General features: G+C 41.5%; 1 protein-coding gene and 1 long non-coding RNA gene across 4 annotated transcripts in view, besides 1 other annotated feature; one reads left to right on the top strand and one right to left on the bottom strand.

Annotated features, from left to right (window-relative positions):
- Positions 1–27,988, bottom strand: part of LOC105376533 (uncharacterized) — a 44,608-nt gene that overhangs the window by 14,538 nt on the left and 2,082 nt on the right. Inside the window, exons 2-8 of the long non-coding RNA XR_007062576.1 lie at positions 22,302–22,418; positions 15,038–15,252; positions 13,977–14,549; positions 6,806–6,917; positions 5,423–5,474; positions 875–935; positions 252–305 (exon numbers count right to left, since the gene is read on the bottom strand). This is a non-coding gene — a long non-coding RNA (uncharacterized LOC105376533). The remainder of the gene's footprint in view (positions 1–251; positions 306–874; positions 936–5,422; positions 5,475–6,805; positions 6,918–13,976; positions 14,550–15,037; positions 15,253–22,301; positions 22,419–27,988) is intronic.
- On the top strand, positions 53–27,837 carry OVCH2 (ovochymase 2). 3 transcript variants are annotated; one of them, XM_047426878.1, is made up of 18 exons: positions 53–223; positions 1,856–1,965; positions 2,741–2,832; positions 4,201–4,373; positions 4,719–4,814; positions 5,055–5,206; positions 6,045–6,234; positions 7,757–7,780; positions 9,731–9,821; positions 9,941–10,065; positions 10,820–10,960; positions 11,342–11,472; positions 14,535–14,628; positions 15,130–15,261; positions 16,517–16,606; positions 19,457–19,588; positions 20,237–20,404; positions 27,597–27,837. In XM_047426878.1, the coding sequence occupies exons 1-15, from the start codon at positions 124–126 to the stop codon at positions 16,573–16,575; spliced, it is 1,710 nt and encodes a 569-aa protein (XP_047282834.1). In that variant the 5' UTR covers positions 53–123; the 3' UTR covers positions 16,576–16,606; positions 19,457–19,588; positions 20,237–20,404; positions 27,597–27,837. The 3 variants fall into 3 exon arrangements, with proteins under 3 accessions (XP_047282834.1, NP_937828.3, NP_001354892.1); NM_198185.7 differs by lacking the exons at positions 19,457–19,588; positions 20,237–20,404; positions 27,597–27,837 and adding an exon at positions 16,928–17,093; NM_001367963.1 differs by lacking the exons at positions 7,757–7,780; positions 9,731–9,821; positions 9,941–10,065; ... (6 more) ...; positions 20,237–20,404; positions 27,597–27,837 and having other exon boundaries at positions 6,045–7,584.
- Positions 14,317–15,516: an enhancer, noted in NCBI's record as "CDK7 strongly-dependent group 2 enhancer chr11:7712245-7713444 (GRCh37/hg19 assembly coordinates)". NCBI's record gives its function as "activates an origin of replication core promoter dependent on BRD2, BRD4, P300/CBP, MED14 and CDK7 cofactors, with strong dependence on CDK7, by STARR-seq in HCT116 cells {active_cell/tissue: HCT116}" and the evidence as "EXISTENCE:reporter gene assay evidence [ECO:0000049][PMID:35650434]".

The following is a 27,988-nucleotide window of genomic DNA, read 5'->3' as shown; positions in this document are numbered from 1 at the left end:
GACATGCTTGATTCACCACGTCTTGGTTAATGAATAAACTTGTTTTAAATTGGCTTATTGCTGGTCTCTCAAGGCTTCCTATTTTTGTTTGCTTTAGTCTCTCTAAAATTTCAGGGAAAAACTATGAGTCTCAAAATGCTTATAAGCAGGAACAAGCTGATTTTACTACTAGGAATAGTCTTTTTTGAACGAGGTAAATCTGCAACTCTTTCGCTCCCCAAAGGTAAGTTTCAAATGAACTCTATAATTACCTTTGTCTGAACCTTTGCTGGCAATGGACGTCACAACTCCGAGACTCCATGTTCCTTTGGGAAAATAGGAGAAGCAAATATATTTTGGATATCTAATTGTTTTTAAACAATTATTTTGGACTTATCTCCTGCAATCGGCATAGGACACAGGGTGAAACATTTATAGAATGCAACTAATGTATCCAATTAAGTAAACAATCCCTGTTTTCTTCGCTTAGTTTTCCTAAGTGAACTGAGATTGTTCACTTACTTGAACCCATTACATAATCCCATCTTGGTTCATAGAGCAAATTCTGGAAATCAGCATGGATTTGGAAGCATTTTTAATCTTTTACAAAATCATCTTGCTGAGAAATATGAAGCATGTTCACTGTAGTATATTATAAATGGTCTTTTTTCCCCTTCAACTAACTTAAGCTGAAAACAGTTCTTGGAAGATTTCTCCTTGGTCAGACTTGTGCCAACCCTGAGAATCAACATGTTTTCTGACTTTGCTTTACTGAATTTGGGAAATAGTAAATTTTGTATTTAAAGTATTTATGACTCATTCAACTGAAACAGTTAGAAAATAAGCTTTTGTTCCAATGTCATCCTGGCACTGGGTTCAGGATCAAAACACTTACTGTTACATTCATGCTCTGCCATTATCCAGCTGTGTGTCTCCTTGATTCTCAGTTTTCTCATCTGCAATGTGGGGATAACAGTGCTTCATTTATAGGCATAGAGTGGGATTAAATGAGAAGCTGTATGAAAGAGCTTTGAATATTTTAACATGTTGATCTAAATAGCTATACTCTTAAGGATGTGTTCTCAAGAAAAGTCATTTGTTTGTCCATCCAGTGTTTCTAAGTGCTTACTTATGCCAAGAATTAAGCTAAACCTTAGAAATGCAGAGGTGAATAAGGCAAGTTTTTTCCCTTGAGTAGTTCATAGTCCGATGATAGAGGCAAATAATTCATTATCACAATTCTGCATGACAAGAACTATAAAAGGGGTGAAGAAAGCGTGCTACACAACACAAGGGAGAGGCAATCCCACTTTGAGGAAATCAAGGAAGACTTCCTGGTTGAGGTGATCTCCAAGCTGAGGAATAAGAATTACAGAATTTAGGTAGGCAATGAAGCATGGTGATTATGAAGCAAGGCTAGTTCTAATCCTCCTTCAAAATATGGAAAAGGATGACCTCCAGGAGGGACAGAAGATGTGCCATCCTTGAGTTACCAGGTGATGTTAAACATCTTTAATCTAGTCTACCTCTTTGCTGAGGAGTCAGAAAACCCATTGAGGGCAAATAAATAAAAACAACTTTTTCAGGGATAAAGTATTTTACATAAAGAGGGAGGAGTTTTTTCTTCTATTACCTAGCAAACCTCTATCCGAGTACCAACTTGTGAATCAGGACACTTCACTCCACTCTCCTTAAATGACCTGTCACTTTTCATCCCTCAAGAGAATTAAATCCAATAAAGATTTATTGATATCTGAATGTGTGCTGAGCACCATACACCATAGTCTCAGACTCAGTTTCATGGGTGAAATGGAGAAGATATTACCTCAATCCTAGAAGCTATCTAATCATTTAGTTTGTCTCGTTTTTTTCTCAGCTCCCAGTTGTGGGCAGAGTCTGGTTAAGGTACAGCCTTGGAATTATTTTAACATTTTCAGTCGCATTCTTGGAGGAAGCCAAGTGGAGAAGGGTTCCTATCCCTGGCAGGTGAGTCTCAAGGACTTCTATGCATCAAGAACTGTGCTAGATATTATGGATATAGATATTTTTAAGGTTAAGTTTATATCTTTGAGGAGCCTACAGCCTAGTTGGGTTGAAAGACAGAATAGTCATCATGGCATGTGATGAATGTCATAAGAAAAAGTATTTACTTGTACATAGTAAGTCATTTTAGAATCAAATCAAGTATCACAAATAGGATAAGCAAAAATTAGAAAGTATATTGGAGAGGTAGGGTAAAGAATAGGCTTGAAGAAGCTATAGGGGTCAAATAGTTAAGAGTATGAGAAAAGTGGTAGATCCAAACCATTTCCCTAAGAGGCTTAGAGAAATAGGAGTATGTGTTGAAAGGCTCCCCAGCCCTCACCTTGCCTTTCTTCCAAACCTCTTCAGCTGGACTCTGCAATATCTTATACTATTTTACCTTCATTCACAGACACTGTTCATATTGTTAGAGCAACAGGTCTGCATCAACTGTGTTATAAAAATAAGTAAATACATCTCACCACTTCTAACTGCTACCTCTGTTGACACATACTTACAGCCAGTCATCTCAAATTAACTACCTCTCATCTAGACCAGGGTTGCCAGCACCACTCTTCTTTCTGAGCGGTAGTGTCTGGGCTTTATCTTTTCACAGTCCACGATTCTTGACATTTACGAGTGTGATATCTGAGTCTGGTTTTGAGAATAGGCTTCATCACCGTGTTTAGGGGGATCCCAGGGCATGAACTTGCTTTCATTTAAGGTATTTGCAATTTAGGTATCTCTGAAACAAAGGCAGAAGCATATTTGTGGAGGAAGCATCGTCTCACCACAGTGGGTGATCACGGCGGCTCACTGCATTGCAAACAGGTAAGAAAGGCCTAGCCCATGAGTGAAGACCACACCACCATTTCTTCTCCCTTGGAATCATCAGCAATAACCCTATTAAAACATGGACCTGTGTGATAGGTGAGTATTGGTTTAACAGATGAATATCCTAATTGCATGACACAAATGGGGCTGGGTGACATTGTCAGATGGCACTTGGTAGATGACATATATTCTTTTCAGAGGTAAAATTCGTTTTTACTTAAAATAACTGGAAGTTAATAATAGCATCCAAGTCAGAAAAAAAAGAGCATTACAAAGAAGGATTTGTGAAAGTTTTCTTCTAGTTTTCTTAAATTTCAGTGAAAAAATATCTAGTTCATTATGCATCTGAAGAAATGGATAAAAGAAAACAAAGGGAGACCAGTAAAGTAGAAAGTAGGCTCCCTGTCTTCCTTCCCATTGATCCTGCCTCTCTGGGACTCAACCCAACAACTTCCCTTTACCCACTTTCTTGTGTGATCCAAATATCCTATTATTGACAGTGTTCTGGGCGTATACTAGGCTGTAATCAAGATCATGTTCCCATATAGTCATTCTTTCATTTCAAGTCTGCAAACATTTCCTGGATGTTTACTTTGTGCTAGATACCAAAGGTACCAAAATGACTAAGACATGATTTCTGCCCCCAGAGAGTTGACTCTTCTTTTAACAAGAGTCAACCGATCATCTCACAGCAATGTGGCAAGTGGTAGGTAAGAGAGACATTATGTGTTAAGTTAGGTACCTAATTTGGCCAAGAGTCAGGGAAGTATACCTAGAGAAAACATGCCTTTTTCAATTTTGTATAGAAGCATCACTTCTGGGAATGAAGCGTCTCAAAGGATGGCAAGCTGAAGTCTTTATATATCTCAATGCATCCCACCAAGTTCCTTTCAGAGAACATTAGTTAGTTATAATGCAGTCTGTGCCTTATAATATATACTAAGCATAGGATCTCTGACATTGAAGTAGCATACTTACTGGGAATCACAAATCATTCCCAAAGGGTCTCACTGATATTAGGTCAGGTCAACCTCCCAGGGTAGCTGAATAAAGTCCCCTATAGCTGTAGAGCCCTGAACTACAATGTATGTGCCTCTCTAGATATTTTCAAATAACATTGCAAAGTATTAAATTCATCATATCCTTGGCTATATATGAACCCACTCTTCACTAGTCCTCTACTGGAAGTTGGAATCTCTGCATTTTTTTCTAACAGTGTTGGAATTATTCTCACTTTCTCTGCTCAGCAGCCTCACACCCCATATTATTTATCCATATCATTTTAAAGAAGCTAGTGTGTCAACCATTGCAACTGTACTCAGAGGCACAATGAAATTCATTCATTTTACTCTTTGCTTTCCATAGAAACATTGTGTCTACTTTGAATGTTACTGCTGGAGAGTATGACTTAAGCCAGACAGACCCAGGAGAGCAAACTCTCACTATTGAAACTGTCATCATACATCCACATTTCTCCACCAAGAAACCAATGGACTATGATATTGCCCTTTTGAAGATGGCTGGAGCCTTCCAATTTGGTAAACATTTGAGGATCATACTGAATTGTCTACCCCATGTTCTCTATAACCTCTGTGCCATAGCACATTTCCTGCAGTATACGTTCTGGGTCATGCACTTTGAGATAGGAATTTAGGCTGGAGAGTCCTACCTGAAACTCTTTTTGCTTGTGGTTCTGGAGATAGCATTACATGGAGTCAGGAGAAGGTTTTCTTTAATTGACAAGTAACCCCTGGAGGTGCCAGGCAGAGCTATCACAACTCTCATGAGGTCTTTAGGGGACCACCTGGATACCAAGTGGTGAGTGGCTTATAGTGTCCTCTCCTCCATGAATGAGACAAGCCCTACCTTGCTCTTTTCTTCAGGCCACTTTGTGGGGCCCATATGTCTTCCAGAGCTGCGGGAGCAATTTGAGGCTGGTTTTATTTGTACAACTGCAGGCTGGGGCCGCTTAACTGAAGGTAAGAACTTGTGTGCCATTCCTCTTAAGCAGAGGTCAGAACTTTCTGGTGGGCAATCAGAAAATGGAATTTTTAATCCATTTTTAAAAATCGATTGTGCATACATTTCTAAAGATAGGGAATGTCACATTGTACTTAGAAATTCAAGTCTTGCCAAGCGACACAAACACAAATGATGCATCTTCAACTCAGAAAGGGTGAAAGAGTTCCTGCTGGGGCTTCCATCTCTCTGTTTTTCAGGTGGCGTCCTCTCACAAGTCTTGCAGGAAGTGAATCTGCCTATTTTGACCTGGGAAGAGTGTGTGGCAGCTCTGTTAACACTAAAGAGGCCCATCAGTGGGAAGACCTTTCTTTGCACAGGTTTTCCTGATGGAGGGAGAGACGCATGTCAGGTGGGTGGGAGCTGCGGGGCTGTCAGGCCCCAGGCAAGGATTCCCTTGGTTTTGTTTTCTTCTAGTTTTCTTAAATTTCAGTGAAATTTAATTTAATTAGAAAGCATATTGGAGGGGTAGAATAAAGAATAGTCTTGAAGAAGCTATAAGGGTCAAATAGTTAGTTAAATGTGTGAGAAAAATGGTAGATCCAAACCATTTCCCTAAGAGGCTCACCTGTTATCAGGTGAGGGGCTGCAGGAAGACTGATTCCAGGTAAGGCAGGAATCTGGAAAGAAGGGTTAGGAGTACCAAGGGAGGTTACATCAAAATAAAGGGACAGTGGAAACAATCTGTTTTTAGCAGGAAGTGTGATTTAAAAGAGGTCTTCTGCTTTTTCCAAAAGACCAAATAACAGAGATAATGCCAAGAATGAACTCGGGGTTCTCCCATTCCTGAAGGATGGCTGACTCTTTCCTATTTAGAATTTTCCAGTTTGTGGATGTTGGGAACTTTACACTTTTCCTCCATTCTTCCTACTAACCAAGGCCTGAAGTCAGTCTCATTGCTGGCCAAGACTTCTCTGAGTCTGCAGCATGAGAGGAGAGAAAGAAGAAAGTCTGCTGCTTTGATGAAAGCCATGGATGAGGAAAAGGGAGGTGGGATTGTTGGGTTCCAGTGATAGTTGAGGATCATATGGGAATTGTGCTGGGATCTGTATACACAGGACCCTGAGTCTAAATTATTAGAAGTGAGGAGATGTCATTGATCCTCCTCCAGCATCCTTGTGAGGAAACAGTGAGCATTTTGGGGCATAGACACTGACAGTGATGCTAATAGAGGCTTTTTCCCTCTGCAGGGAGATTCAGGAGGTTCACTCATGTGCCGGAATAAGAAAGGGGCCTGGACTCTGGCTGGTGTGACTTCCTGGGGTTTGGGCTGTGGTCGAGGCTGGAGAAACAATGTGAGGAAAAGTGATCAAGGATCCCCTGGGATCTTCACAGACATTAGTAAAGTGCTTCCCTGGATCCACGAACACATCCAAACTGGTAACTAAGCCATCACACAAGGTTAAGAAGCTGCCATTCTGCTAGGGCCAGAGACAGCATCAGCAGAGTCCTGGCAAATCAGAGCACCTGAACCAACAGGCTCTACCTCTGTTCTCAGTGTAGCACACAAGGATTGTGAGGTTTACCAAGTCTAAATAAAACAAGAGTAAAATATGGTATGTGGAGCAGCATGCAGATATTCAATGAAAAATGAATCCATCCATCCTAGACCTTCTCAAACTGGCCTTTAATTGAAACTATCTCAGTTGATGATATGCTTTCACCACTTACTTCTCTGGATTCAGAGTCCAGAGTGCTCACCATTACACGATGGCACCACTTACTTCTCAAAAAAATCCAGCAAACTATAACAGATCAGTAGTTATCAACCAGGGGCAATTTTGTCCCCAGGGACAGTATCAGAAGACATTTTTAATTGTCACAACTGGCAGAGCTGAGGAGTGGCTCTGGTGTCCAGTGGGTAGGGGACTTGGATGCTGCTAAACATCCTACAAAGTACAGGACAGCCTCCCACAACAAAGAATGATCCCACCCAAAAGGTTAATAGTACCAACAATGAGAATCCCTGGCGTAGATCCAGGTATAGTAAGTCTGCAAAAGCCAGGATCTACATGCAGCCAGGCCTCCGTATCTGCAAGTTCCATGTCAGCAGATTCAACCAACTGTGGATCAAAAATATTTGGAGAAAAATAAAAACAATAAAAATAACAGTACAATAATAATGACAATACAAATTTTTAAAAATACAGTGTAACAACTATTTACATAGCATTTACTTTGTCTTAGGTATCGCAAGCACTCCAGAGACAATTTAGAGTGCTACATAGGGGAAGACATGCCTAGGTTACATGCAAATACTATGCCGTTTAATCTAAGGATTTGAGCATCCTCGGATTTTTGGTATCTGCAAGGGTTCTGAAACCAATCCCCCACAGATATTGAGGGATGAGTGTACACCCTTGTGATAAACTGACTAGAGAGCTCATTGCAACTTCTTTGCCTCCTCCAAATCCAACTTAATTGTTTTCTTATCTGGTGGCTTCCAACCTCAAAAAGGCTTTTATCCTTTTCTAAACAAGTTAATTTAAATTAAGTTTAGTAGGAATTTGAGTTTGTTTTCAAGTGTATGGTACAGTGGCAGGTATCTGAGCCCTCAGTTAAAGTTTGACCTATTTAACCCAGCAACTCTTTTATAGTTATGGACAAACTATTTCCATCTCTAGCCTCTGTTCTTATGTAAAATGACCCCTTCCTCTGTGAAACCTCCAGTTAATTACCATTTCATATTAGCCCACTTAATAAAGAGAATTAAATCATTTTAAAACACCAGAGGCCCTTTCCTACTTTATCCATTTATCCCTTCCCTTCTTTCCACAGATAAGATTTTTATTAGTTGCATATTGACTTAAAAATCTCTTGTGCGCCAAGAAGATGCTAACTTCTTGAAGCGTTGTTCAGGATACCACAGGCTTTCAATTGCATCCTTCTTTTCCTTTCCCAGGTAATCGGAGAAAGAGCTCCAGAGGTGGGTATCCCTTGCAGGCTGCTCCATCAGGAGCACAAATTAACATCTAGCATTTCTGAATATCAGTTCCTGAAGTCTTCCTCTCCAAGAGCGCTCCCTGCTCAGTAGGTCTAAAACTACCACCTGGAGCACCTACAGCCATTATGCCCAGCAGAAGCCCCAGTTGCCCTCCCATTTCATTTCTTAGCAATCCAGAGCTCTGTCCCAATTCAGCCAACCTTTGCCAAACACTAGCTTGGAATCAGAGACTCAAGGAAAGAGGGCAAGGCAGTGCCGATGTGGTCAGTAAGCTACACACCTTGCCCTGAAAGTGTCCCTACTTATATAGGGTCTCATCCCCTTTGTTCCATTGCGATCCTGCGATGAATTCACTCTGTGACTTTGGGCGAGCCTTTTCCTAACTCTGGCCCTCATCCATAAAGAAAATAGTGTGGGCCAGATGGTCTCTAAGACACTTTAGTTCAAATCTTTAGTTGTTCTTTGAACCCGTGGAAAGATCTACAAAGAGCAATATAGAAAAATAGTACCCTGAGAGCTCAGAGGAATGAGAGGCTGCTTCTAGCTGAAAACAAATAAACTCACAGGGGAGCTCTGATGCACAGACATCTTTGAAGCTGCAACTGGAAGGAGGAGTAGGATTTTGTCAAGTGGAAATGGAATATGGGTAAAGAAAAATATTCCAGCTCAAGGAATCATCCTTATTAAAGGAAAGGTCTTAAGGATGAAGACAGCAACAAAAGCACAGGGCATGTGATGAGGATTTATAAGGGAGAAGAATAGAAACATAACTTGAGATCAAACTATGGAAACTTTAAATGCTAGCCAAAAAAGTTTGGATACGATTGAGTAATAGAAAGCTGATTAATTAGATAAGTAGGTTTGAACTATATTTTAATAGTGTAAGAACAGCATGTAGGGGATGGGTTGCGAGGGGACAAATGCATGGACGTATGAAATTCTTCATTAGTTTGAGAGACAAGAAATGAAGGTTTGAACCAAGGCAATATCCACAGAATGAAAAGGAAGGAATAGAAACGAGAAATGAGGATTGGGAGCCAATTAGATGAAAGGTTGTAACGAAGAAGGAGGAAGAGAAGATAGTACCAAAGTTTTGAGCATGAGAGACTAAGAGAAGGGCACACAAAAATAATAAAATCAGAAGTGGGTGCAGTTTTGCTGACCCAAGGAATTCTATTTATAGCATATTGAGTTCTGAGGGAGACAGCTAGGAAACCGTCATAAAAAATCAGGTCTGAAGTTCAGAAATGTAGAGATGACATCTGAAATGGAGGGTGTGAATGAACCTGGTCCAAGGGATCATAGAGACAGAGCAGATGAGGACGAAGGCTAGAAGCTGGGAAATACCTGCACTTATAGAATAAAGTATGAGGTCAGCAAAAGAAGAGTAAAGGGCCAGAGGTGGCTCACGCCTGTAATCACAGCAATTTGGGAGGCTCAGGTGGGAGGATCGCTTGAGTCCAGGAGTTCAAGACCAAGCCTAGGCAACAAAGTGAGACTCTGTCTCACAAATAATTTCTTCAAAAAATTAGCCGGGTGTGGCAGTGTGAGTCTGTGGTCTCAGCTGCCCGACAGGCTGAAGCAGGAGGATTGCCTGAGCCCAGGAGGTTGAGGTTGCAGTAAGCTGTGATCGTGCCACTGCACTCCACCCTCGGTGAGAGATTGAGGCCCTGCCTCAAAGATAAAATAAAATAAAATAAAAAGAGAGAGAAGAGTTAAGGAAAGAAAACCAATCATAGAATCTCAAGGTTAAGCAGGATCTAAAAGGAACCAAAAAGGCATCATAGAAGCAAAGACAGGAGAAGATTTCATGAAGAACGAAGAGTACATCAAGAAGAACCAGGAGGCTATGGTGTTTGCAGCTTCTGGAGGGAGGGGCTGCTGTGGTTAACTGGCATAACTAACCCTGACTCTCCTGGCTTTCCCTCCCAGCCTGGTGCAGTGAGCAGGATGTCATAGTCAGCGGGGCTGAGGGGAAGCTGCACTTCCCAGAAAGCCTCCACCTATATTATGAGAGCAAGCAGTGAGTAACCCCCTTTGTACTCCTCCTCCTTACTCCCACCTCCGGTCTGGGCCCACCAATTGGACTGTGATAGTCGTTTTCTGTCTAGAAATAACGCCCTCTCCATGATCTGCCTACAGACGGTGTGTCTGGACCCTGCTGGTACCAGAGGAAATGCATGTGTTGCTCAGTTTTTCCCACCTAGATGTTGAGTCTTGTCACCACAGTTACCTGTCAATGTATTCTTTAGAAGACAGACCCATTGGTGAGTGGATTTTCACAGTGTCAAATGGAAACCAGTGCCAAGTGGGCTTAATGAGGCCTAGTTATCTTATGTCTGGCACTCAGCCATCTGTAAATGCCACACTTCTTGACTTCCGCTTTGAGACTCAGAATTGGGAGTGGGAAGGAACCAAATCTGAGCCTGGGTGATGGCTGCAAGGTCACAGGGCAATTTACTTGCCAAATCTGCTTCCCATCAAACCAGGCTTCCTAGGCCCATTTGCCAGACCTGGTGTCCATGAGGAATAAACTCTAGATATATTCCAGGGCCTCTCAGGATGTCCAGACAGCTCACTGCTTTCCTAGCTGTGAAAATGACCTTTCCCTGCCTCATCAAGCTAAGAAGGAAAATACAAATAGACAACCATGAGAAGGAGACAGGTTACTTACAAGAAACAGAAATGGAATGGTGTTTCTGTGGTTTCTCAGCTGGAGGTGATTTTGTACCCCCAACCCTCAGGACACATTTGGCAATGAATGAGAAGCATTTTTCAGTTGTCACAAGGGCAGGAATTGTCACTGGTAGAGGCCAGAAATGCTACCAAATATCCTACAAAAGATGCAGGATGGCAAGAACACAAAGAAGGTTCTGGCTCAAAATGTCAATTGTGACAAGACTGAGAAACTTTGGATTGGACAATCCTGAAATATCATGGCAAATTCAGTTCTTCTTAAATCATTGAATGGGAACTATTTTCTAGATTCTGAACAAAGAATCCTTTTTTCTCATCCTGCAGGAAAATTTTGTGGAGAAAGCCTCCCTTCATCCATTCTTATTGGCTCTAATTCTCTAAGGCTGAAATTCGTCTCTGATGCCACAGATAATGCAGCTGGGTTTAATCTTACCTATAAAGCTCTTAAACCAAACTACATTCCTGGTAAAACCATTTACTTTTAATCACATACTATCTCCACCTTCTGTAGAAGCTTAGGCCCCATAGGAATTAGGTGAGTGGCAGGGATCCCTCTCCCAAGGCCCAACTGACTCCACATGGGAGAGGGGCACAGGCCAACTAGAGAACAGGGGGCAGTCTCCCCCTCAACCCTGAGTTCACCCTGCTAGCTCGTAGTGATTGCCCCTCCAAGTGAGTCGAGAGGGCCTGATGAGTTCTGGAGAATCATGCACTACGTCTTTTCTTGTTCGCAGTGTCTGAAAATGCAATTGATATGCATCATTTTCAGGAGACAGGAGGGAGAGCAGTGAGAATTCTTCTTTATTTGAATGGTGCCATCTGTTTGGACTTTTTCTTACGTTTCAGATTCAGGTTGCAGTTACTTAACTGTCCTTTTTGAAGAAGGTCTCATACAGAGTCTAAACTATCCTGAAAACTACAGTGACAAGGCTAACTGTGACTGGATTTTTCAAGCCTCCAAACATCACCTAATTAAGGTATTGACTTTGGCTGTCCTTACGTAGCTATGGTAAATTCACAGAATAGCTAACATAAGCACCATGAGGTCAGAGGTTTTATCTGATTTATTCACTGCTGTGTTTTCAGTACCTAGAACCCAGCACCTGACACACAAAGCTGTCAATAAATACTTGCTGAATAATGGATCCGCCCAGTTTCCCCTGCAACTACACATTTTTTCCACTAGATGGCACTGTGCTCCTTACTTTAAAAAAAAAAAAAAAAAAAAAAAGTGCCGCTTTAATCTTTGTATTGAATTAGCCGGGCGCGGTGGCGGGCGCCTGTAATCCCAGCTACTCGGGAGGCTGGAGAATTGCTTGAACCCGGGAGATGGAGGTTGCAATGAGCCGAGATCGCGCCACTGCACTCCAGCCTGGGCTACAAGAGCGAAACTCTCAAAACACAAAACAAAACAAAACAAAACAAAAACTTTGTGTTGGTGACTTTTAGTCCATTCCAGAAACAAGCATGTCTTCCTTATTTATTAAACTGCTCACAAAACACATTGTAAGTTATAGATAACAAAATCAAGGTCAATCAGGCCAAAATCATCAAGCCTTTCAAGCAGAGAGGACAGAGCAAGCCTAGAGGAACCAGCGCAGAACAGGCTCAGGGAATCGCTGGTTTAAGAGGGTCTTAAGGTGTCCTGGAGTGGACAGTGGAAGGCAAGGTGGAAGTCACTGTATGGAGGCCTTTGAACGCCTGGAAATGGAGTTTATTCCACATTTGATTAGCAGTGTGTGGTTAGTTGTTTGTTCATTAAACACTAATGGACCATCTGCAGAGAGATATCATCAGGGAGGTAGAAGTAGGACTGCAGTCAGGGTGAGATTGGAATGAGGCATTTTCTCATAGATCTTTCTTTTAAAATAATAATTGAAAACAAGACAGTGTACGATGGAGAGAAAAGAGAGCAGAAAATAAAGGGGAGAGGAGTGAGGGATGATGAGACACCAGCGTTCTCACTTAAGAGATGGAAAGAACTCTGAGATGTGGGAGGAGAACCAAATTGGTGTGTTTTTATGACAGCCTGGAGAATGCAGCCTTTAACTTAAAACACAAACAAAACCAAAGAAAAAGATGTGACCAATCATTTGGATACCACACTAAGTTAGAACTTAAAGAGATGAGAACTGAGGTGTCCAGTCCCCACCCCACACCTCCATAAAAAAGGGAGAATAATTAGATGGGAAATTGAACAATTGAGAGGAGTTGGGATTGGTGGTATCTGAAATATCACGTGAAGTCAGATGTTAATGGCAGAAACAAGATCACACAGGTTTTATGAATGAGTGGGAAAAGATGATACAGAGGCAGTTGGTATAGATTTCTTTCTAAAAGTTCATCAAACCTAAACAGATTTGGGGCAAAAATTTCAGCAGAATTAAGGAAAATTTGTTAGTGGTGGAGGATAAAATTTAGGTTGTGAGCATGTTTCCAGGTGGAGGAAGAAGAGGAAATTTAGTTGAAAATCTGAAAATGCCAGAGCCAGAAGTGATTGAAAAATATCTCTTCAATAAGTAAAGTTTGAGTGTCGTGCATCAGTGAAGCGATGCTCTCATACTCTGCCAGTGACAGCATCATTTTGCAGAACTCGTGTAAGATAGTAATTTGGAAACTGGTGTTAAAAGTCATAGGAATATGCTCACCATTTGACTTGGAGAGAAAAGGGCCCCTTCCCAGAAAGTATCCCAGTAAGGGTTTAATAAATGTTTGAATGAATCCTATTTCTGATACAGGTCCCCCTCCCCACGCCTACCTTTACCATTAGTAATTATTTGCCTCCAGTTTTGTTTTATCCACACAATCCTTTCTGTTTCTTGCTCAGAGTCTGGGTCCCATTGAATCCCCATCAACTGTGTGTTAAAATTAGAGTTCCTATTTCATCAGCCCTCTCTCCCACCACTCTTCACTTCAAATTCAATTGGCTAGTGCTCACCAAACTGCTCCAAGATCACTCTTTATTGTTTCTTTGTTTCTCCTTCACACTGTTCCTTCTATCTAGATAGTTCCCCTCCCTTTTCCTGAAACAAAACAAGTGCCCCATGCAGGGAATGATACAAGAGAAGAAAAAAAGTAAATGCCTAAAGATATTCACTGCCAAGTTTTTAAGATAGCAAAAAATACAGGTCTCAAGGATAGAGATAAATGAAATATTATGCTGCCAATAAGCATCACAATTATAGAAACTATGAGAAAAGGTTTGTCATGATTTATTCTTGGTGACCCTAGGTTGATTCCAGGTGATCAACTTTCTTTTCTAGGTCATTACTCATCATAGCTTAATAATCTACTCAAGAATTTTGCTGAGGTTTACATTTAAGCTTAGTATCCAAAATCAGCTCTCTCTAACTCATACAAGGATTTCCTTTTTCATGCACATTCATGAGGCTCACTACATTTGACTCCGAGCCCACTTATGCAAATGCTTTCAGTAGCTCAGATGATACTTTGTTTTATATCAGCAATTAGACTCACTTACATCTGTGCCTTCTCAGAATTTTGCAGTGAGGCATGGAAATATAGTGGCAACAGGACAAAGCAGGTGAGAAGAGGAGCCAGCTATATCCCGCTGGGTAGAAAGACACGGTCTCCAAGGGGCACAACAAATTTCAGTCTTGATTCAGGAGAACTAGAGGTTCAAGATGAAACATCAGGAACCAGGTGAACAACACTAAGATGTCCAGAGAAGCAGTTTTGTGTATATGCAATTAGTTGAGTTGAGTGCCTAGTTGCTTCCAAGGAAAAAAATCCCCATGCGGTAGCTCTCCTAATCTCTTAGAGATGTTAGGAAGCTAAAATATTTGCACAGTTTCCTGCCCTTTGATTCAGGCCATATTTGGTAGCTATTTCAAAAAGTTAGAGCCTGTGATATAGAATCCTTCCCTTGGTAATCTGACCCACTCCTGAATACCCCATTAACTTTCTTATCTAAGGTCTTACTCCAGAACAAGTTGAGCAATCCAAATTTCTCTGCTGAATCAAAGTCAGGTAATTCATTCAGATTGTTTACTCTGGATGTAACTTCGTGTCTTCTCAGCTTTCATTTCAGAGTCTGGAAATAGAAGAAAGTGGAGACTGCACTTCCGACTATGTGACAGTGCACAGCGATGTAGAAAGGAAGAAGGAAATAGGTTTGTGTCCTCTGAGCCTCAGCTCGCTCTGGTTTGTGTTTGGACCCAGTCTTGAGATGGGAACGAAAAGGAGACAGATCAATCTTCCTCCATCTTCCTGCACCACCTCCACCCCTCCCTGTGGTCTCACCATCACTCCTTTGTCTTCTTCATTAGGGGCAGGAAGAGAAAAAGGGAGAATCAAAGAACCACTGAAACAGAAATGCAAAAGGCCCATGAGGAAACTAGGAGTCAGAAAGGGAAAGTTCCATTGAAACAAGTCCTGAGGCTAGAACCAGTTCCCTTAACATCATTGTGTGTGGGAGTGTTCAGGAGAGAAAACCAAATTGAAATGTCATGGGGTTAATTAAGGAGTGAGCTGCCTTTATTTAGAAAATGAATTGTGAAAAGCGTATTTCTCAACAATTACCTGAAGGATGATTTTCTTTTTTTCTTCTCTCCAATGCCATGGCTATCTGCTGGGTGCTTGACAATGTCATGCCTGGGCTGGCCTTCAACAAGCTCGGCTGTGTGGCTATGATGTCCCCACCCCTGTGCTGAGCCCCTCCAGCATCATGCTCATCAGCTTCCAATCAGATGAAAACGGGACCTGCAGGGGCTTTCAGGCTACAGTCTCCTTCATTCCTAAAGCAGGTAAGAAGATAGAGTTACCAACTCTTTGGTTCCCAGTTCTAATCCTTGTGATGTGAATTAGAGGTCTTTAGAGCCCAACACAGAGACAGTCGATTCTCACTATCTGCAGTAATTACATCCTATCAAGTCACCATGGACACTGAATAAGAGAATACTCAGCCATCCCTCCTAGGAAATGTACAAGGTTAGGTGCCTTCAAGGTACATTTTCATCAGCTGATCAGTACATAAACTTGTTTTATGTGTGTTTCTGTTTAAAGATATGTTATTTAATATATATTGCTGGTTCATTACAATGAATTCACGGCCATTAAATTCATGGCCAACAGCACTATGACTCATGTCTGAACAAAGCTTATCTAACACGTGTGTTTTCTATGTGAGGCACACCACAGAGTTTTGCACTTAGGAACACTAGACGGCACTTCAGCACTATGCTTGGGGCCATTTTAAAGGTTGAGGTCACCAATAAAAAGAACAGAAATGAAAAAAAAGTGCCACTAAATAGACCATGAAAAGGACATTTGTTTATAGGATGACGGCTGAAGCAAGAAGGCAAAATATTGCCTTGTTTTACCTCGTGTGGAAACGTGTGTCTAACAACATGTATTTTTTGTCACTCTTCACATGCCTATGAATGATCCTGAGGACAACATGAGTATCACTTTTGGAGCTATAAATAATTTTTAGTGAGTAGGTGAATTCACGTATAGGGAGTTCACAAAGAACGAGTGACTGTATGTCTGAATCCTGATGGCCAATCATTACTAGATGTGTAATCTTAAGAGTCACCTCAGACTCATTTTTTTCAACCCTACTAAGGGAAAACAATGCATCCCTAATAAGAATGTAGTGAGGATTAAATCAGATAAGATACACTTGGCCACAAGCAAGTGTGCAGTACATAACAGAGACATAGAAACATGAAATATCTTCACCAGTTCCAGGCCCTGGACATTCGAACTACCTAACCAGCTTCCTTACACATTCTCATACCCATGATTCTTCTTTCCAAACCCCACAAAGCCAATTATCTGCTTTCCAAGTTGTTCATTCTTTTTAGGTATTAAGCAGCTGCAGATGGCAAAGCCAGGTTATAGTTAAAATGCCCCACTCCTCATTTGAAATACCTATAGAGTCTAGCTGGCTGAGGTGCCCCAGAATTCTAACAATAGCTTCATAAATCATTTTCTGATAAATCTCCAACCCTGGCTGTCTTTGTGGAAACTGAGTAATTGTATCATACTTATACCCAGTATACCCAGATTTAAACATCTCCATATCAGAGGATGAATCAATGTTTCTGGAGACATGAGATGTGCCAAATGGAGAAACCAATGTTTCTGGTAAGCTGTTTTGGGGACCAATTGATACACACAGAGTATAATCCAGGGTTCAACCGGAGAAGCAGGTGATATGGATTTAATTCCATCTTCCTCCAAAATATACTAGAGTCCTAACCTCCAGTACCCCAGAATGTGACCTTATTTAGAGATAGGGTTGTTACAGAGTTAATCAGTTAAAATGAGGTTATTAGCCTGGGCCCTAATCCAGTATGACTAGTGTCCTTATTAAAAGGAGAAAATTGGAAGCAGAGAGACATACACACACAGGGAGAATATCGTGTAATGATGAAGGCAGAGGTTGGGGCAATACATTATCTACAGGCCAAGGGGCACCAGTGACTGTCAGTAAACCACCAGAAGCTAGAGGAGAGGCTTGGGGCAGACTCCTCGTCACAGCCCTCAGACAGAGCCATCCCTGCTGACACGTTGATCTTGGACTTCTAGCCTCCAGAACTATGAGACAATAAATTTCTGTTGTTCTAAGCCACCTAGTTTGTGGTACTTTGTCATGGCAACCCTAGCAAACGGATACACCAGAATTGGCTTACACAATTGTGGGGGCTGACTAAGCAGGTAAATCTACAGGCCAGGTGCTCAGAAAGGGAAAATCATAGAAACACCGGAATCCACAGCATGGGCTGAAGTTGTTCCTCACAGGCAGAATTTCTTCTCTCTTTTGGGGAAGCCTCAGCCCTGCTTTTAAGGGCCTTCAAACTAATCAAGTCAGGTTCACCCAGATTATTCAAGATGATCTTCTTTACCTAGAGTCAAATGATTAGGAATTTTAATTACTGCTGCAAAATTTCTTTACAGCAACAATTAGATTAGTGTCTGATTTAATAACTGTGGATTGTCACCTAGCTAAGCTGACATATCAAAAAAGCCATCACATGGAGCTTCATGGGATGTGGTCACTGTTCCTTTTGCTCAAAGCAACACTGGAATATTTCCAGTCACCAGAATAAATTCTCATCTCGAGTGAATAATTCAGTGGCAATGACTACTTTCTGTGCCAAATTGTGGTCTCATTCACAAGATCCCACCTCTGAAAAATAGCAAGTATACTACTATGTTCTAGTGCCAATGAGCATTGAGAAGTTCTGGGCTTTCCCTGTTCCTTGTTTGTCCATGACATCCATTGGCATATATAAGTGACATCTTGTTCCATGTGGAAAATACAGTGGTGAGGAGAGCAGGCAGAAGATGAGGTGGGGAAACTTTTATAGTTTGCCATTTTGCCATTTTGATTTATCAGGAGAAAAGTCAAATCCTTTATTTTTTATTTTTATTTTTATAAATTTTCGGACACATAGGACACAGAATAATAGAGAGAGTCGGGAATGAAAATTCATTTTCATAAGAAGGGATGAAAGCAGTTGGGGTCTCTTTGTTCTGGCTTCTTTGACAATGACCTCATGATGCAAAGAAGCCCCGGGTGGAAAAATTTTTGTAAAGTGTGGCTGCAGTGATTCCTTCTCTCGGCCACCAGGGGGTACATTCAGCAAAGCCATTGCCAAGCACAATATTTCCAAAGACCAAAAAAGAGAATATCATAGCAGTAGCACATTTGAGGAGGGTGTGAGAGGTTGAAGATGAATTTAATGTGTGCCTGTCAATTTACCTGTGGGATATCCAGCTGCAGATGTCCAGGAATTAAGAATCAAGCCTGGGATGGGGTGGTCTGGGAGGTAGCAGATAAAGGTGAGAGTTGCAACCCAAAAGAAGCCTATTTTTAGAGGAAAAAGAGAAAAGGGAAGACCAAAGAAAAAGGCTGAAAGGAGCCAGGCATAAGGGGAGGAGGAGAACCAGGACAGACATGGGAGCTGTGGAGAGAGAGATTAGGTTTTGCTGTGGACTGAATGTTTGCGCTCCCACCAAATTCATGTGTTGAAGCTTAATCTCCATTGTGATGATATTTGGAGTGGGTCCTTGGGGAGATAATTAGGTTCTGAGGGTGGAGCCCTCATCGATGGGATTAGTACCTTTATAAGAAGAGACGCACAAGAGCTTGCTTCCTCTCTTTCTACTCTCCCCTTTGTGAGGATAAAACAAGAAGACAGACATCTGCAAACCAGGAAGGGGGCCCTCACCAGACACTGGATCTGCCAATACCCTGATCTTGGACTTGGCAGTCTCCAGAACTTTGTGAAATAAATTTCTTGTTTAAATCACCCAGTCAATGGTATATTTGTTATATCAGCCCAAGCAAAGACAGGGGAAAGAGGTGTCAATGATGAAAAATGCTGGACAGAATCTAGTAACATAACAATGGGAAAAGAGGCCTTTGGATTTGGCCACTGGGATGTTGTAGGTAACCTCAGTGAGTCAGAATTCCACAGTCTGATTGCTAAAGATAGAGAGTGAATGGGAGGTGAGAAAGAGGCTCCCTGGAGGTAGATTTCACTTTCATAAAGAAAGGTCCCCAAGTGTTGTTCTGAGCCTCTGGCCTCTGTTGCCTGAAGCTCTCAGGCTTCAGGAGTCATAGAGTCATAGAAGCAGTTCCGATACACTAGCATAATCCCAGTAAGAATTTATTTCTCAGCCTTAGCCTTCAATTTTCTCAAAATTATGTCTTAGGCTTTATTATTATTATTATTATTATTATTATTATTATTTCCACAGCCATCACTTCTTATAAATAATGTTTTGGGTAACATCATATTTTTTTGACAATTTGCGCAGAAATATCACATACCTTTTAAGCTACATGGTGGAATCACCTTTCTTTTCATCTGTATGAATAACATGCCCTGAAATATATCCCCTGAAAATATATTCTTTTTTTTTGCGGGGTTGGGGTCCGGGGGTGGATCTTTATGAACTTAACAACAGAGATTCCTTGCCTTTAAGGTAGAAAGAAGTCCAAAAAACTATAGCAGCTTAGAATCCCCACCTTTGCATCAGAAGCATGCCAGGAGTATGGTATGTTTCTCTCCAGGAATTCTAAGGAGTGCAGCAGATGCGGGCAACGATTCCTGCTGGGTGAGCTCTCCAGCTGCCATCTTTCTGCTCTCCACAGGACACTTGGGGGCTGGGAGTGTCACTTTGTGGTTTGATGAAACAGCCTCTGGGTGAAGCTGCTGTGACAACTTATTTAAAATCTTCAGGATGCTCAGGGATACACTATAGACAATTTTAAGAACTTTCTTTTCAGAATTGAATGGTCTGTTCTAAAAAAAGCTTTCTGTGAATTTTCAGAAATGTTCTACTCTCTGATACGAAGTAAGGGAAAGGGCTCTCCTTTCTTAGTTTCAGGATTTTGATTTCCTTTCTTCCTGCAGATTCTTTATAGATTGGGATCAGGCTCAGTATAGACAAATTAATTTGTGAGAATGAGAATGAGTGCTTCTTTTTCTCTGTTGTTTTTAATAATTTTAAAAATGTGTATTTAACAACAAATGTCTGTCGTTTTTAATAATTTAAAATAGGTAGTACTTGCTTGTTCATCATGAGAGAATGGCAGCTAACATACATTAAGCGATAATTACTGTTATGGGTACTCTACACTCATTTTTAAATCAAAACTTATGTAAGATTGATAATAGCATTAATGTACAATCCATTATATGCTGGGCTTCATTCTAAACGTTGCATATGAATTAACTCATAAAATCATCTTATGACCCTAAGAGGTAAGAATCATCGTCATCATCATACCCATTTTAAAGATGGAGAAACCAAGACCTGGAAATGTTCAGTAATAGTCCCCAGCCAGATCATTTGTAAACTGGTGGAGCAGGACTTCATACCTCAGCAACCTTCTACCAGAGTTCGGCACAGTGCTGTGCTACCTCTCAGGTGGGTATATTCGGTGTAAGTATCTCCAATATACAAATGATAAATCTGAATATAAGACTGATTCAGCCACACAAAGAGGATCCACAGTTGAGCTCTATCTGAAAAATCCTGTTAGCAGGTAGATTTCAAATTCAGTTCAAGCCAGAGAATTTTTTTTTTCAATGACAACCTGGCCTTTGGATCTGTTTTCCGCTCCTAAAACACTAGAATCCAGCAAGATACCTGGGGTTTTCCTTCTTCATCCACACTGAGTATAATCTGAAAAACAGTTCTGGAAAGTAAAGAAGTAATCAACAAGTAATTACTGAACACCTGTGACATGCCTAGCTGAGCTAGATAGGTACAAGAGAAGGTAGAGATGTGCCCTTGCCTTCAAGGGCATCCCAGCTTCATTGAAGACACAAGATAAAGATATCCTGCAATAATTAGGGAATAGTGTAACATAGAGTATGGGCAAGGGCAGGAGCTGTGGCTGGACACCGACCGGGTGGGAGCTATTCAAGAGCAAGTGGAAACATCAAATTAGAGTTATCTGAGAAAGCTGCCTGGAGAGAGAAGGATTGGGTCTGGAAGACAACCTAAGGAAAATTTTCTAAAAATATGTTTGGTGGATGTATCTGTTAATATTTAAGAAACTCATTATGCAAGGTAAACACTTTTCCTAGGTGTGGAAGGTATCCTGAGTTTCCTGGGGCCTCCTCAGCAGGTGGGTAGAAATAGAATTGCCTTAATAACACCCAAGTTCCACTTATTCATGTGCCCACCTGTCATGAAGGGTCTCAGCTCTTGCAAAATGCCCTTCCAATGTCCTGTAGCCCTCATGGGTTATCTCACGTAGTTCGGTACAAGTCTGCTCCCATAGGCGGTGTGGTTTTTCTCCCTCCCATTCTGTGCCTACCAGGAGCAGCATGTCCCTGCTCAGCCTCCAGCCCTCCTGGGGGACCCTGCCACTCGACTTCTCTGTGTGCCCCCACTCTCCTACCAGCTCCTCCACCAAGTCACTGGAAACCCAGGGGTGTCAAGACTCTCATGTTTCTTGGTCAAGTGAGAAAGAATGCCTCTCTGCTTTGTGTTACCCTCCATGAGAATTTCTTGAGTCCCAGTGTTTAAAGCAGACTTTAATGAAACTATTTTTTCAGTTTTGACTTAAGGACCTCACTCTTGCTTTCCTTAAGATAAGTCTGGCAGGCTCAAGAGAGAGAGACAAATGCAAGAGACAGACACCACGATGTTCTCAGAATTTCCCCCTTAAGATGCTAAGATTTCATTGTCTTCCCAGACTCTCTGTGCCTGGATTACTGTTCCCTCAACCTAAGTTCCTCCTCAGGAAGCTCCTCAGCACTAGGCAAATAGACTTTCGCTGATTCCATCCCACCAGTTCATACATCACTGGATATGTCTGAAATCTGCTTAGACTAAAACTGAGACTGCCTATCACACAAGAGAATTAACTATATCTTATATATAGACCATACACCTCATTTGTTGGGGCTAATTTGTAGTTACACTTAAGATTCTAGGAACAAAACGAAAAAAATGTGCTCTAATATAGCTTACTGAAGCTGGATTTAAGAACCGTAATACACACACACACACACACACACACACACACACACACATATGTATGTATGTGTGTGTATATATATATATATATAGGTTTGAGGGCAGGCAGCTGGCATCCCAGGCAGAGAGTCCCAAGGTGCTTTTCAGGGTCCAGGTCCTCAGCTCTGTTGGCCCAGAAACTCAACTGTGTCAAGATGCTCACAGGGACGAGGCTCACAAGAAATGAGTTCCCGACTCAACAAGAGGCTATGCAAACACAAAGTCTGGTGTGTGAATGTGTGAGAAAGGCTATTGCTTTCCAGTGAATGGAATATATGTGGCATGAGATCCATACCTCCACTTCTAACTTCTGCTGACAAACTTTTTTGATGGTCAAGAAAGGTCAGGCATTATCCTCAAGGACATCTCATCCAGGTATCCAGGTATAGAACAGGTCTGCTGACAAAGGATTCTGCAGTAAGAAAAATAGACAACAGTCTAGTGGGGATGGGGAAGCAGATAATAAGCAAAGAAGTAATATATATAATATATATTTTAATATTTTATATACATATATATATATAAAATGCCAGATGGCAATAAATGATACTGAGAAAAATAAAGCAGGAATAGGGGATAGTGAATGCTGGTGAGCAGGGTATTGCAATTGTAAAAAAAAGTATGGTCAGAGAAGAGCTGATAAAGAGACATCTGAGAAAAGGCCTGAAGGAGTTGAAGGCAAAGGCTATGCAGATAATAAGGGTTAGAGAATTCCAGGCACAAGGAATGAAAGGCAAGTACGAAAGACCTGAGGTAAGAGCATGCCTGATATATACGAAAGCCAGCCAGGAGGTCAGTTATGTCTGGAGAGTCATGAGCATGGGGATATCAGAGAAGGTAGGTGGGAGGACAGCTTGTGTAGGATGTTATGGGCTAAGGTAAAAACATTGGCTTTTACTCTAAGTGGAATGGGATGACATCAAATGGAGTAACAGGACCTGAAATCATTGTAACAAGATCACTCTTTCTATTGTATTGAAATTAGACTGCAGGAGAGGGAAAGGGAGGAAGCAGAGAGATCAGTTAGGAGACTATTGCAATAATCAAGGTAAGATATTAAGATCTGAATGCTAGCAGTGGAAGTGGTAAGTCAGATTCTGGACGTATTTTCAAGAAAAAACCAACAGGATCCCCTGATATATTGGATATGAGGTGTGAAAGAGAGATGTCAAAGGTGACCATGGGGCTTTTGGCCTGATCAACTGGAAGTAAGATATAGACCAAGGTATCAGAATTTGGGGTCGGGGCGGGGAGCGGTAGATACCAGGAGTTAGTATTTGATCATGCCAAGTTTGATTTGCCTATTCATTTAAAAGGATATGTCAAGTGGGCAGTTGGATATATGAATGTGGAGTTCAGAGGACTGACCCAGCCTGGATATGAAAACTTCAAAACTATCAGCATATTGTTGATATATGAACCCAGGATGCAGGACAAAATCACCAAAGGAGGTGTCTGTGATTTGAGCCCTGGGGCACTCCAACATTTCCAGGGGTTGGAAATGAGGAGCATTGACTGAGAATTGACCATTACATTAAATTTAGCAATGTGAGGATATTGGTGATTGCAACATGGTGGTTTCAAAGGAGTGGTGAGAGTAAAAGCTTTTTGGAGTAGACTTTAGACAGAATGTGATGGGAAAAAATAGAGATTGCAAGTGTAGACAATTCTTTCAAGGAATCTTGTCGTAACTAGGAATGTGGAAGGGTGTTAGCACCTAGATGGGGATAAGGAAGTCAAGAGAAGGTATTTTGTCATTTAAAACATGGCAGAAATTACAGCACATATGTCTATTAATAGGAATTATCAAATGGAGAGAAGGAACTGATCATAAGGAGCAAAGAGAAAACTGCTGGGGCAATGTTCTTGAGCATTGGAGAGGAAAAGAGAGCTAGGACACAAAAGGAGCATTTAGTCAGGTGGGAACAGTAACTGGAGGAAATGCAGAGGAAAAATGTATGTTTTCTACATCTCTATACTTTCTCAATTTTCTTCCACTGGCTCTTAATCAAACTGCAGGCTGTGCAAAGCTGACAGCTCAATACCAATGACCCAGTCATAGCCCTTCCTCCAAAAGCATCACTTAACATCTCCAGGCCTCAGCTTTACCAGCTGAAAATGGGGAGCTTCTTTCAATTTGAAATCAGAAATTTAAATTTGCATGGCATTAAAACAAAAGTGTTATTTATGCATTTGCTGGCCCACAGGTTGCTGTGGTGTAGGGGAAGAACACTAGGCTGGATTTAGGAACATGGGCTTATGTCCCAGCTTTGCTACTGTCCAGCGATGTGATGTTGGAGAAGGCAGAGAATCTTTCCGAGATTTTTTCTTCTCCAAACTAAATTGTTTGTAAAAAGATTATAACAATTTCAGAATGATGTTTCATTGTAATGCTTTATAAACTATATAGCTCTATGAAAATGAAGGTTTTAGAATAACGCTCAGAATGGAGACTTTAGCCCAATTTGCTCTATTTTCACTTGTTTTGCTTTTTAAAACAGAAATTGTCATCACAAACAAAACTCTTCTCTGAAAAGCTCCTGTTTTTGCCCCCATAAAAGAAAAGGAAGCAGAGGCTGGGGCAAATTTGTGAAAAACCAAAGTCCTGGTCATGTTTAAGTAGGAGTCTGGAATGCGTCCCTTCATTTTTCTTTTTTTTTTTTTTTTTTTGGACATTTCCCCCTTCTCCCCGTCCTGGAAGCCAGCTTTTCTCCTATTACAAATCTGAAGCGCCCATCCCCAGGCTTGTCCATGCAGGTGGAATTCTCCACTGGAAACTGCCTCACTTACTCCTGGTTGTCTCCACAGCCCAAGCTGTGAACTCACAAGCAATTCCTTCTGGAGGCTCTAACCCAGCCCCTACCACAACAGATGCCGTTTATAAAGAGTTGAAGCAACTGCTGTAAATATTGGTGAAGTAATTGACTAGTATCATTAACACAGCTCTGTACACATAGCTGGGTGTGGAAGGTTCTACAGGAATAGGACCCTGCAAGCGGTTCTGTTGACTCTTCCCAACCACACTATTTCTAGCAAATTCTGACCACTCCAGGTGTCTCAAGACTCTTGCCTTTATACAGTCTATCATGCCCATGTTAGCCCCACGTTGCCAGGAGTGCACAAGGTTTTCCATGGGCACATTTATGTTGCATAAGTAATGGTTGAAGATATTCCAGAAAGCAAAATATTGCCATTGCTTTATACCTGTCTATAGTGCTTCTTAGAGAATTCTGAACAGGTAGCATTAACATATTTTAGTCTAAAATCCTTGAAAAGGGAAGCTAATGAAACTGATTTAAGAAATATTCTGCATTGGTCAGCATTGAGTGTCTGAGTGGGCTGGGTGCTCCATCAGTGGTCCCTAATGAAGCTCAGCCCAGTCAACTGTACTAGTCCTCCGAGCCTCTTTGTTCAGGATGACATTTTAGCAAAATGCACAAAGGATGGGCCAGCGCCAGGGTGAAGAGGAAGAGATGGAGTGGGTGGTCTGCTTACAAGCTCTGGCAGAGACAATGAGCTGAAGATGTGACTGGGTAGCAGGGGGCACATTGGAAAAGAGGCCCACAATCAAAGCAATGAGAACATCAGAACAGGGGGCTCCTCCCTTGGGGGACTTCTGAGCCAAGCCCTAGGAAATTTTTTAATAGAGTAAATTCAAGTATAAATAAATAAGCCCTCTGAGACAAAAACAATCATTCATTTATTGTATTAGTTTCCTATTGCTGCTGTAACAAATTACTACAAATTTAGTGGCTTAAAACAACACACATCTATTCTATTACAGTTCTGGAAGCAAGAAGTATGAAATAGTTTCACAGGGCTAAAGTCAATGTGTCAACAGGGCTGATTCTTTCTGGAGGCTCTGAGGGGAAAATCCATTTCTTTGCCTTTTAGCCTCTAGTGGTTGCCTGTATCCCTTGGCAGGTGGCCCCTCCCCCCATCTTCAAAGTTCATTCTGCCAATCAGTCGCTGCTTCTGTTATGGCACTGCCTTCTCTTCTGACTCTCTTCTACTGTGACTCTCTTATAAAGACCCTTGTGATCACATCAGGCCCACCCGGATAATTGAGGAGAGCCTCTCTGTCTCAAGATCTTTAAATTAATTGCAGTTTGAGAGTCAGAAAAAAAAAAGTGTTTGTCCTGTTCTTTCCCTCAATGATCAACACTTCTGTGACCCTAGATTTGTGGAAATTTTTCCCCACGCACCAGGTGAGCAATTCTCCAGTAGACACTGGCTGACTGTCCTCTAATTCAATTCATTTCTGACATTGTCTACTGGAAGTAGCCTAAGAGACCACACATTGAGGGCTCAGTCCCTAAGACTGCCACCCACCTCGGATGCCAGTCTCAAGGCTGGGCTTCCAGAATTTCTGACTGATTGGCTATGAAGTGGGGTTCCCATGACTCCCTCCTCAGATTAGATTAATTTGCTGGAGTTGCTCATATAATTCAGGGAATCATGTTAGTTATGTTGATCATTTTCTAATAAAGCATATTCCGAAGAACACAGTCGAACAGCCAGATGGAAGAGATTCACAGAGCAAGGCATATGGGAAGGGTCACGGAGCTCCCATGCCTTCTCCCGGCACACTGTGCCCTAGGGACCTCCACGTGTTCAGCTATCCAGAAGCTCCCTGAACTCAGCCCTTTGAGGTATTTATGGAAGCTTTGTTATGAGGCATAATTGATTAAATTATTGACCATTGGTGGGCAATTCATCTTTCAGTCCCTTTCCCCTCCCTGGAGGTTGGAGAGTGGGATGCTGAAGGTTCCATCCAACTTTCTGTATTAGTCTATTTTCATACTGCTACAAAGAACATCCCTGAGACTGACTGGATAATTTATAAAGGAAAGAGGTTTAATTGACTCACAGTTTTGCATGTCTGGGGAGGCCTCAGGAAACTTACAATCATGTCAGAGGGTGAAGGGGAAGCAAGCACCTTCTTCATAAGGCACCAGGAGAGAGAGAATGAGGGAGGAACTTCCAAACACCTATGAAACCATCAGATCTGGTGAGAACTCACTCACTATTATGAGAACAGCATGGGGAAACTGCCCCCCAATCCAATCACCAACCTCCCTGTTTCCCTCTACACATGGGGATTATAATTCAAGATGAAATTTGGGTGGGGATACAGACCTAAACCATATCACCCTCTAAACATGGGGTTGGTTTCCTTGGCAACCAGCACCCATCAGGAGGCTATTCAGGAGCCCCCAACAATCAGTCAACTCATTATCATACAAAAAGATCCATATCACTTGGGAGATTCCAAGGATTTTAGTTGTTGTATGCCAGGAAACTGGGAGGAAGACCAAATATATATTTCACAATATCATGCACAGCTACAAAGTCCCTTTTGTCATAAAAGGTAGCATTCATAGGTTGTGGGCATATCTGGGGTGCCATTATTCAGTCTACCCCAATTTAGGCTTAACAGCTAGGACCTAAGAAATGGTCATTTATATAGAGGATAAAATGGAAATAAATTATTTTCAAGATTAAACACTTAATGAAAAGTTCACAGCTGCCTGGAAACTGTTTTGAGAGCAAACATTCATTTAAAAAAAATGTTTGCCTTTTATTTTAGATCCAGAGGGTGCATGCACAGGTTTGTTCCATGCATATTACTGCACGATGCTGAGGTTTGGAGTACAAATGATCGCGTGACCCAGGTAATGAGAATATTAGCCAATAAGTAGTTTTTCAGTCCATGCCTCCTTCCCTTCCTCTCCCTTCTAGCAGTCCCCAGTGGCTACTGCTCCCATCTTTATGTCCATGTGTGCTCAATGCTTAGCTCCCACTTATAAGTGAGAACATGCGGCATTAAGTTTTCTGTTTCTGTGTTAATTCACTTAGGATAATGGCCTCCAGCTGCACCCACATTGCTGCAAAGAATATGATTTTGGTTTCTTATGGCTATGTAGTATTCCATGGTGTATCTGTACCACATTTTCTTTTTCCATTCCACCACTGATGGGC

The sequence above is a fragment of the Homo sapiens genome, chromosome 11 (assembly GCF_000001405.40).
Source record: "Homo sapiens chromosome 11, GRCh38.p14 Primary Assembly".
Taxonomy (NCBI): Eukaryota; Metazoa; Chordata; class Mammalia; order Primates; family Hominidae; genus Homo; species Homo sapiens.
This window is presented reverse-complemented; position numbering and strand designations above follow the sequence as displayed.